Source organism: Homo sapiens, chromosome 19, assembly GCF_000001405.40.
Source record: "Homo sapiens chromosome 19, GRCh38.p14 Primary Assembly".
In the NCBI taxonomy this organism is placed as follows: domain Eukaryota; kingdom Metazoa; phylum Chordata; class Mammalia; order Primates; family Hominidae; genus Homo; species Homo sapiens.
The window spans coordinates 52,507,964-52,519,599 of NC_000019.10; the positions used below are offsets into that span (position 1 = coordinate 52,507,964).

General features: G+C 44.4%; 1 protein-coding gene across 8 annotated transcripts in view; it reads left to right on the forward strand.

Moving 5' to 3' along the window:
* The window catches only part of ZNF578 (zinc finger protein 578), a 63,330-nt gene extending 54,411 nt beyond the window's left edge, over positions 1 to 8,919 (forward strand). For all 8 annotated transcript variants that reach the window (NM_001366182.2, NM_001099694.2, XM_047438189.1 and 5 more), the window contains one exon: positions 2,609 to 8,919. In NM_001366182.2, coding sequence (NP_001353111.1) covers positions 2,609 to 4,191 — 1,583 coding nt within the window. In that variant the 3' untranslated portion in view covers positions 4,192 to 8,919. The remainder of the gene's footprint in view (positions 1 to 2,608) is intronic.
* Positions 8,920 to 11,636: the final 2,717 nt, after the last annotated feature.

Here is an 11,636-nt window from a genome sequence, read left to right on the forward strand (position 1 = left end):
ACTTGAATCTGGGAGGCGGAGGTTATGGTGAGCCGAGATCATACCATTGCTCTCCAGCCTGGGCAACAACAGTGAAACTCTGAATCAAAAATAAATAAAGAGGCGGGGCACGGTGGCTCATGCCTGTAATCCCAGCACTTTGGGAGGCCGCGCAGTGCAGATCACGAAGTCAAAAGATCGAGACCATCCTGGCCAACATGGTGAAACCCCATTGCTACTAATAATATAAAAATTTTCTGTGCGTGGTGGTGCATGCCTATAGTCCCAGCTACTTGGGAGGCTGAGGCAGGAGAATCACTTGAACCCGGGAGGCAAAGTTGCAGTGAGCCGAGACTGTACCACTGCACTCCAGCCTGGGTGACAGAGCAAGACTCCATCACAAAAGAAATAGAGAGAGAGAGAAAGAGAAAGTGAAAGAGAGAAAAAGAAAGAAAGATATTAAAAGCCTTAGTCCTATTCACAATTAGTCAACACCCATGACCAAATTCTCTAAAAGGCCCCATCTGCAGGAACATCCTATTGGTCCTATTGGTCCACTATCAGATGATAGTGGACCGAGCGCGGTGGCTCTCGCCTGTAATCCTAGCACTTTGGGAGGCCGAGGTGGGTGGATCACCTGAGGCTAGGAGTTCAAGACCAACTTAACCAACAGGAGAAACCCCATCTCTACTAAAAATACAAAATTATCGAGTGTGGTGGTGAATGCCTGTAATCCCAGCTACTGAGGAGGCTGAGGCAGGAGAATTGCTTCAACCCAGGAGGCATAGGTTGTGGTGAGCTGATATTGCATCATTGCACTGCAGCCTGGGCAACAAGAGTGGAACTCTGTCTCAAAAAAAAAAAAAAAGAAATCTGATAATCGCTTTTAGCCAGTACGAACATAACTGTAGTTGTGACCTCATAATTGCACTTTTCTACACTATTAGTCAATTTTTTTTTTTTTTTTTTTTTTTTTTGAGATGGAGTCCTGCCCTGTCACCCAGGCTGGAGTGCAATGGCACGATCTCGGCTCACTGCAACCTCCGGCTCCTGGGTTCAAAAGATTCTTTTGCCTCAGCCTCCAAAGTAGCTGAGATAACAGGCACCCGCCACCACACCCGGCTGATGTTTTGGTGTTCTTAGTAGAGATGCAGTTTCCCCATGTTGGCCAGCCTGTTCTCGAACTCCTGACCTCGTGCTCCACTTGCCTCAGCCTCCCAAGGTGCTGGGATTACAGGTTGTGAGTCGTCGTGCCCAGCCGTTAGTCAGTTCTTATTCCTTATAATGCTGTGTATTTTCTTGACCTCATACATCAGAAGGTAGTGATCTTAACATGTATTTCAGTTCTTATATTGTGTGCTGGTGGTTAAGTAGATGTTGTGGCTTTTTTCTTAAGAGGGAATTGTTTAGAATTCTGCAGGCTGTATAAATGTACTTATTTGCTTGCTGGTTTTATCATGGGTTACAATATTTTATTAATTAATTTTTATAATTTTGCATATGGCTTTTCAGTATGTGGTATGCAATATAACTGACACACTCCACTCGTTAATGTCAAAAGTGCCACCAGGTGCAGTGGCTCACACCGGCAATCCCAGAAATTTGGGAGGCCAAAGGGGGTGGAGACCAGCCTGGCCAACATGGTGAAACCCGGTCTCTACCAAAAACACACAAACTAGCCAGTCATAGTGGTGTGTGCCTGTAATCCCAGGTACTTAAGAGGCTGAGGCAGGAGAATCACTTCAACCCAGCAGGCAGAGGTTGCAGTGAGCTGAGATGGCACCATGGCACTTCAAGCTGGAATGCAAGACTGTCTCAAAAAAATAAAACTACAAAAAATGGTTTCAAAAGTCACTATGTGCCTGTTCTGTGTGGATATATGTAATTTTATGACATTTATTGAGAAAAGTATTGTATTAACTTTTTTTTTCTTTTTTTTCCTTTTTTTTTTCTGTTTGAGGCATAGTCTCACTTTGTTGCCCAGTGTGGAGTGCAGTGGTGACATCTTGGCTCACTGCAACCTCTGCCTCCCCGGTTCAAGTGATTCTTGTGCCTCAGCCTCCTGAGTAACTGTGACTACAGGCACGGGCCAGCACACCTGGCTAATTTTTGTAATCTTTTCTTATCTTCTCAGTGCTATAATTGTTTGATAATACAGAATTTCCATTGCTTTTGGTTATCCTTACATGAGCTTGTTGTGGATTATTTACCAATATAGTATATTGTGTGGTGTTTTTTTTTTGCATTTATTTGTACACAGTAAATATGGTTTAAATATGAAGAGTATATATTTTTCTCTTCCTTGATGTGACAGTGATATGTTTTTTGCAAACTGTGATACACTGTAGGGTCACAGTGGAAAAATACTCCTTACTTTAGGCTTACACATGTTTGTGCCCTGTCAGTGTTTTGTCATGATATAGGAAATAAGCTTTTATAGACTTGATTTGAAGGACATGTAATTGTCTGTTATTTATTAAAGAATCTTACTACTTTTGTGTTCGTAAACTTTGAAGATCATGTTTGGGAAGTTTAAAATAAGTATTTTTTATTGTGTCATATTTACACACTTCAGTATGATTTACCATCTGCACTTAATTGCAAACGTATTGGTGTTTATATTTTGTAGATATCTCTTCCAAACGCATGATGAAGGAGGTCTTGTCAACAGGGCAAGGCAATACAGAAGTGATCCACACAGGGATGTTGCAAAGACATGAAAGTTATCACACTGGAGATTTTTGCTTCCAGGAAATTGAAAAAGATATTCATGACTTTGAGTTTCAGTCACAAAAAGATGAAAGAAATGGCCATGAAGCATCCATGCCAAAAATCAAAGAGTTGATGGGTAGCACAGACCGACATGATCAAAGGCATGCTGGAAACAAGCCTATTAAAGATCAGCTTGGATTAAGCTTTCATTTGCATCTTCCTGAACTCCACATATTTCAGCCCGAAGAGAAAATTGCTAATCAAGTGGAGAAGTCTGTCAACGATGCTTCCTCAATTTCAACATCCCAAAGAATTTCTTGTAGGCCTGAAACACATACTCCTAATAACTATGGGAATAATTTTTTCCATTCATCATTACTCACACAAAAACAGGAAGTACACATGAGAGAAAAATCTTTCCAATGTAATGAGACTGGCGAAGCCTTTAATTGTAGCTCATTTGTAAGGAAACATCAGATAATCCATTTAGGAGAAAAACAATATAAATTTGATATATGTGGCAAAGTCTTTAATGAGAAGCGATACCTTGCACGCCATCGTAGATGTCACACTAGTGAGAAACCTTACAAGTGTAATGAATGTGGAAAGTCCTTCAGTTACAAGTCATCCCTGACATGCCATCGTAGATGTCACACTGGTGAGAAACCTTACAAGTGTAATGAATGTGGAAAGTCCTTCAGTTACAAGTCATCCCTTACATGCCATCATAGGTGTCACACTGGTGAGAAACCTTACAAGTGTAATGAATGTGGAAAGTCCTTCAGTTACAAGTCATCCCTTAGATGCCATCGTAGACTTCATACTGGAATAAAACCTTACAAGTGTAATGAGTGTGGCAAGATGTTTGGTCAAAATTCAACCCTTGTAATTCATAAGGCAATTCATACTGGAGAGAAACCTTACAAGTGTAATGAATGTGGCAAGGCTTTTAATCAACAATCACACCTTTCACGTCATCATAGACTTCATACTGGAGAGAAACCTTACAAGTGTAATGACTGTGGTAAGGCTTTTATTCATCAGTCAAGCCTTGCACGTCATCATAGACTTCATACTGGAGAGAAATCTTACAAATGTGAAGAATGTGACAGAGTTTTCAGTCAGAAATCAAACCTTGAGAGACACAAGATAATTCATACTGGAGAGAAACCTTACAAGTGTAATGAGTGTCACAAGACCTTCAGTCACAGGTCATCTCTTCCATGCCATCGTAGACTTCATAGTGGTGAGAAACCTTACAAGTGTAATGAATGTGGGAAGACTTTTAATGTACAGTCACACCTTTCACGTCATCATAGACTTCATACTGGAGAGAAACCTTACAAATGTAAGGTTTGTGACAAGGCTTTCATGTGCCATTCTTATCTGGCAAACCATACTAGAATTCATAGCGGAGAGAAACCTTACAAGTGTAATGAGTGTGGTAAGGCTCACAATCACTTGATTGATTCATCAATCAAGCCTTGCATGTCATCATAGACTTCATACTGGAGAGAAACCTTACAAATGTGAAGCATGTGACAAAGTTTTCAGTCACAGATCACGCCTTAAAAGACATAGGAGAATTCATACTGGAGAGAAACCTTACAAGTGTAATGAGTGTGGCAAAGCCTTTAGTGACCAGTCAACACTTACCATCAGGCCATTCATGGTGTAGGGAAACTTGACTAATGTAATGATTGTCACAAAGTCTTCAGTAACGCTACAACGATTGCAAATCATTGGAGAATCCATAATGAAGAGAGATCTTCCGAGTGTAATAAATGTGGCAAATTTTTCAGACATCGTTCATACCTTGCAGTTCATCAGTGAACTCATACTGGAGAGAAACCTTACAAATGTCATGACTGTGGCAAGGTCTTCAGTCAAGCTTCATCCTATGCAAAACATAGGAGAATTCATGCAGGAGAGAAATGTCACAAGTGTGATGAGTGTTGCAAAGCCTTTACTTCATGTTCACACCTCATTAGACATCAGAGAATCCCTACTGGAGAGAAATCTTACAAATGTCATCAGTGTGGCAAGGTCTTCAGTCCGAGGTCACTCCTTGCAGAACATCAGAAAATTCATTTTTGAGATAACTGTTCCCAATGCAGTGAGTATAGCAAACCATCAAGCATTAATTGACATTGGAGTCAATTCAGCATTGACTTGAGTTTGTGTTGACTTAACATTGAGTTCAAGCCTTAATTGACATGCAGGTGTTTATGATAAGAGGATTGGGCCAGGTGCAGTGGATCACGCCTGTAATCCCAGCACATTGGGAGGCCAAGGCACATAGGTCACTTGAGGTCAAGAGTTTGAAACAAGCATGGCCAAGAGATGTGAGCCAGTTTTCCCAGCCTGTTTATTATTATTTTTTGAGATGGAGTGTTGCTCTTGCTGCCCAGGCTAGAGTGCAATGGTGCGATCTTGACTCACAGCAACCTCCGCCTCCTGGGTTCAAGCGATTCCTCTGCCTCAGCCTCCCTAGTTGCTGGGATTACAGGTATATGCCACGACGCCTGGCTAATTTTTTGTATTTTTAGTAGGGAAAGGGTTTCTCCATGTTGGTCAGGCTGGTCTCAAACTCCCGATCTCAGGTGATCCGCCCACCTCAGCCTCCCAAAGTGATGAGATTACAGGCATATGCCACCGCGCCTGGCATTGTTTCTTCTTTTCCTTTTTTTTTTTTTTTTTTTTTTTTGAGATAGTACTTTTTAAAGAGATAGTACTTTTTTGAGATAGTACTTTTTTAAAGGGATATACCATAGTAGTTTTAAAAGGGATATCAGGCTGGGTGTGGCAGCTCACGCCGGTAATCCCAGCACTTTGGGAGGCCAAGGCAGGCAGATAACAAAGTCAGGAGATTGAGACCGTCCTGGCTAACACGGTGAAACCTCGTCTCTACTAAAAATACAAAAACTTAGCCGGGCATGGTGGTGGGCACCTGTAGTCTCAGCTACTCAGGGGGCTGAGGCTGGACAATGGTGTGAACCCAGGAGGCGGTGCTTGCAGGGAGCCGAGATCGTGCCACTGCACTCCAGGCTGGGCGACAGAGTGAGAGTCTGTCTCAAAAAAAAAAAAAAAAAGATATCAAACCCGGGGTGTCTCATCCCACAGCACTTTGGAAGACTGAAGTGAGTGGATCATCTAAGATCAGAGTTCAAGAGCACCCTGGCTAACATGGTGAAACCCCATCTCTACTAAAAATACAAAAGTTAGCCAGGGGTGGGGGTGTGCACCTTTAGTTCCAGCTACTTGGGACACTGAGGCATGAGAATCACTTAAACCTGGGAGGTAGAGGTTACAGCGAATCAAAACCGTGCCACTGTACTGCAGCGAGGTTGGCAGAGTGAGTCTCCATCTCAAACAAACAAATGAAAAAAACAGACATCAAAAATGCTTTTGTTCTCGTTGTGTCATAGACTTCCCTTTTTTTTCCTTCTGGTTCCTCTTCAGTTCTCTATTTATTTTTTCTTTTTTGCAGATTGAGTTTGAGATATATCTTAGTTTTAATAGTTTTATTTCTTAACACATAATGACTTCTGAAAGATGCCTTTGCAGCATCCTGTAATCAGCTCACATCATTCGTTTCTGTACTTGTATATTTTCCAGTTGTTTTCCGGTTGACCCCAAAATTCGTGAGATTTTTTTCCTACAACAATTTCAAAAGAGTTGCTGTTTGAAATTAGTTGCATCCAGTTCAGATCGAGGTCTGCATGCTTTCTAGTCTTTGTTATTTATTGGAAGGCTGTGGTACCTACTACTTAAGTTTGATTGTTGCAGTGTGTACTTGGTAAAGATGTCAGTGACCTTTTAAATAAACATCAAAATGTAGTTTAAGCAGTTAGTCTGTTTTTCAGTTTTCTTTCCTTATGTCATTTTTTAAAATCTTGAGCTGGGAGCTATTTATTGTGTGTTTCCCTCAAGGCCCTGTGGTCCATTCTGGAAAAATGTTGAAACATGGGCTGGAGTGGCATAGAGCGCTGCTCCAAAAGCACCCATGTATTCTTTTCTTTTTTGGAAATGGAGTCTCGCTCTGTCAGCTTGGATGGAGTGCAGTGGTGCGATCTCAGCTCACTGCAACCTCTACCTCCTTGGATCAAGTGATGCTCCTGCCTCAGTCTCCTGAGGAGCTGGAATTACAGGCACCCACCAGCACACCCAGCTAGTTTTTGTATTTTTAGTAGAGACAGGGTTTCACCATGTTTGTCAGGCTGGTCTCAAACTCCTGACCTCGCGATCCACCCGACTCAGCCTCCCACTGTGATGGGATTACAGGCATGAGCTACCACGTCGAGACTCTTTTTTTTTTTTTTTTTTAGATGGAGTTTTGCTTTTGTTGCTGAGGCTGGAGTGCAATGGTGCGATCTGGTGTCACTCCAATGTCTTCCTCCTGGGTTCAAGTGATTTCTCCTGCCTCATCCTACTGAGTAGTTGGGATTACAGGTGCCCTCCACCACTCCCGGCTCATTTTTTGCATTTTTAGTAGAGACAGGGTTTCATCATGTTGGCAGGCTGGTCTTGAACTCCTGACTTCAGGTGATCTGCCCACCTCGACCTCCCAAAATGCTAGGATTACAAGCGTGAGCCATTGTGCCTGACCACTCATGTATTCTTGATTGAAATAATTTGCTTATTTCTTAGTTCTACAGCTGACCCTCTTTCACTGTTTCCAAGGTCAATAGCTGTGTGTTCACACTTCTGCATTTTATAAATGTTCCTGTGAGTTTTTTGTAAGGAAGAATTAACTGTCAGGAATCAATGTCATCAGAACCTTGCAAAAGAAGTTTCTTTAGCCCAGGTTTGTGAAAGAGGTTTCTCTAATTTTCAAGGATGGGGGTGATAAGAGCAACCTTTGCCATTAGCCCTTCCAGGACCCCATGTAAGACTTTAGACACCTTCTCACTCATCTCAGACCTTCTCAGGGTAACTTGGTGAAAATGTCTTCCGATCTGAGCCCCAGTGAGCCTCCCTGCAACTTGGCGACGAGGGGCTTGACCAGAAAAGGTCAACCCGAGTGTCCCTGACCGTTGAAATGATTGGCAAAATGGAGTGCGTGTCTGGGTGTGGCTTTTTTTTTTTTGAGGAGTGCCCAGTTGTGATTAGAATTTTCAATGGGATGCAGTGCCCTAAAAATGAAAAACAAAAGCAGAAGAATGGAAGAAATAGAGGTAGACTCAGACACAGAGACCATCTTCAAGGCCTTTCTCTGTATGAGGACATCACAGCAAAATCTAAAGCAGGTCACGTCAATCCCTGGCAGGGAACCCTCCACCGGCTTCCCGTGTTCCCCAGGACAAAAGCCCAACCCCTCACTGTGGCTCCACAGCCCCGTGTGCAGGGCCCCTGCCAGTGTCCAGCCTCCTCCTGGCAGCTTGCCCTCATCTCATGACTCCCTCTGCCCCAGTCACATTTGCTTTTCTCTTTTCCCAAACATCAAAACCCTTCCTGTCTCAGGTCATTGTCCCTGCTCTTACCCTATGTACCCTGTCCCTTTCTCCTCCTTCAGGTCTAGGCTCAGAGCTCTCTCCCATGCCCTCCCACCCCTGGTCTCAAGCTCCTGAGCTCAAGTGATCTACCCACCTCGGCCTCCTAGAGTGCTGGGATGACAGGCATGAGCCACTGCAACCAGCCTCTGCATGGGGTTTCCTCAACTTTAGGTCTGTGCCCTGAAGGGGAGCTCATTCCAGCCCAGTTCCCAACTGCTGCAGCATGTGTGTGTGGGCTTCTCCAGAAGGGGAGCCAGAGTTTCCCTGTAGGAGTTTATCCTCCATGGTGAGGAGGGCCGCAGGGGGGACTGTATTTGCTCAGGGTGAGGTCTCCTTTGTGTCAGGCCTCTGAGCCCAAGCTAAGCCATCGTATCCCCTGTCACCTGCACGTATACATCCAGATGGCCTGAAGCAACTGAAGATCCACGAAAGAAGTGAAAATACCCTTAAGTGATGACATTCCACCATTGTGATTTATTTCTGCACCATCTTGACTGATCAATGTGCTTTGTAATCTCCCCCACCCTTCAGAAGGCTCTTTGTAATCCTCCCCACCCTTGAGAATGGACTTGGTGAGATCCACCCCCTGCCTGCAAAGCATTGCCCCTAACTCCACCGCCTGTCCCAAAAGCTACAAGAACTAATGATAATCCCACCATACTTTGCTGACTCTCTTTTCACACTCAGCCCGCCTGCACCCAGGTGAAATAAACAGCCTCGTTGCTCACACAAAGCCTGTTTAGTGGTCTCTTCACACGGACGAGTGTGACACTGTATGTGTGGTTGTGTTCCAGGGAGGGGGTGTGTGGATTCTGAGCAATAAACAGCATTTTTAACATTCATGATTGACTTCTAAAGACTGTTGGTACGTGAGGAAGAAACCTGGAAGAGGAAGAGGAAAGCAAAGGAGTCAGGAATGGCTCTTCCTCAGGTGAGATGATATTCTCGGTGGATTGTTCTGTCTCCTTCCTCTCAGAAACCCTGGGCCTTGGAGTTGGGAATCTTCTCTGGGTCTCAAGTGTCCTGCCTGACAGGTTTGCTCACACCCATGTCTTCCTTCAGTCCCTCTCATCTCACTTAGATTCCATCTCTTGTAACCCAGTGACATGAATTTGGGAAGAGGCTGCACTGGGCATGGTCCTGGGAAGGGCTCACACCCAGACATGGATGGAGACAGGGTGAGGGTCCTGTGGTGTCAGTGCTGTTGGGCAGCGGGGATTGTTCAGGGGCCACATCTGGATGCTCTGTCAGCTTTCTGTGGACCAGGATTAGAGCAGCTGCCAATGGGAGTCGCGTATGAATGTGCACAAAGTACGTGTAAATTCTAGAAAACGAAACCAAAAACAGAAAATCTTTTTTCCCCCTGATTTTATACTACATTTTTAGGTAATGGATTGAGTTCGTGTTTCTGACTCCAAAAATCGTACTAATTAGAATGGAAAGTTCATACAGACATGAATGATAGAAGGTGTTTTATTCCATCATTAGTTTAAGAATAGGAAATCAACCTGAATAATAGCAGGAGATTCATTCAACCACTCTTAACACATTAAGTTCATGGAGACTGGGGTTACTGTGGAGAGGCTTGTGAAACAGGTGTTTTTGGTAAAAATGGTTACAATTTATTTTTTGAGATGGAGTCAGCCTCTGCCACCCAAGCTGGAGTGCAGTGACATGATCTCAGTTTACTGCAACCTCCGTCTCCTGGGTTCAAGTGATTCTCCTGCCTCAGCCTCCCAAGTAGCTGGGGTTATAGGCATGTTCCACCACGGCCATCTAATTTTTTGTATTTTTAGTAGAGATGGGGTTTCATCATGTTGGCCAGGGTGGCCTCAAACTCCTCACCTCAGGTTATCCGCCCACCTCAGGCTCCCAGAGTGTTGGGATTACAGACACTAGCCACTGTGCTGGGTCCTTTTGAGTTTCTGATTAGCGTTGCCAAAGGAGGCACTCAGATATGCATGTATGTCAGGGAGCAGAGCGGTGACTTTGAATAGAAGGTGAGTCTGGTTTCCTAAGCAGTTCCTAGCTTGATTTTACCTTTTGCTTAGTGATTTGGGGCTCCATATTCATTTTCCTTTCACACAGCCCAACCCTCACACCACCTGTGGTCTATCTTGCCTGTTCTGTGTGATTACTGTTGTGCCTTTGTCATCCACTGTCTGGATCCTAGTGAGAACAAGGCCCCAAGGGGAGGGCAGAGCCAAAACATGGGGCTGTGCTGGGCTCGCCCCGTCTGAGTGGAGCTCAACCCTGGCTTCACATTAGAGTGCAGAGCATTTTGCAAATAGAGCTTTTGTGCTGCTTTAGCAGGGATTCTTATTCTGACGGGATGGAACCCACCCTCAGTAATACCTGCAGTGGCCCAGGTGCTTGTCATCTGTGTGCAGCATTGAGCATCGAAGCTCTGTATCCTCCATTTCTGAGTGCTGAGCTCAGCCTGTGATCCAGAGAGGTGAGGGGTTGTCCTCTGGATGCGGTTTGATTAGGGATGGGTCTGTGCCCTGAAGGGGAGATCAGTCCAGCCCAGCTCCCCACTGCTGCCTAGTGTGTGGGGGCTTTTCTAGGAGGGGAGTGAGATCTGAAGACCAGGGTCAGATATACACTTGTAGGTCTTCCTGTGGTAGTTTCTTATCTCTGCATGATCTCTGGTGCAGTGGGCAGCAGAGGACCGTCTTTCTACAGGGTGAGGTCTCCCCTGTCTGTTTTTGCCCCAGGAAGGGAGTGAGTCATTTCTAACATGAAAGCTCGTCTTTTTTTTTTTTTTTTTGTGGGGAAAAGAAAGATCAGAATGTTACTGTGTCTTTGTAGAAAAGGGAGACATAAGAAACTCCATTTTGATCTGTTCTAGGAAAAATTCTTCTGCTTTGAGATGCTATTAATCTGTAACTTTAGCCCCAACCCTGTGCTCACAGAAACATGTGCTGTATTGAATCAAGGTTTAATGGATTTAGGGCTGTGCAGGGTGTGCCTTGTTAACAATATGTTTGCAGGCAGTATGCTTGGTAAAAGTCATGCCATTCTCCATTCTCAGTTAACCAGGGACACAATGCACTGCGGAAAGCCGCAGGGACCTCTGCCCTAGAAAGCCTGGGTATTGTCCAAGTTTCCCCCCACTGAGACAGCCTGAGATATGTCCTTGTGGGAATGGAAAGACCTTACATCCCCGCGCCTGACACCTGTAAAGGGCCTGTGCTGAGGAGGAGTAGTGAAAGAGGGAGGCCTCTTTGCAGTTGAGATAAAAGGAAGGCTTCTGTCTCCTGCTCATCCCTGGGAATGGAATGCCTCGGTGTAAAGCCGACCATTGGTTCTATTCTGCGATAGGAGAAACCTGCCCTGTGGCTGGAGGTGAGATATTCTGGCAGCAATACTGCTCTGTGACTCTTTGCTACACTGAAATGTTTGTGTAAAGTGAAACATAAATCTGGCCTACATGCACATCCAGTGAAG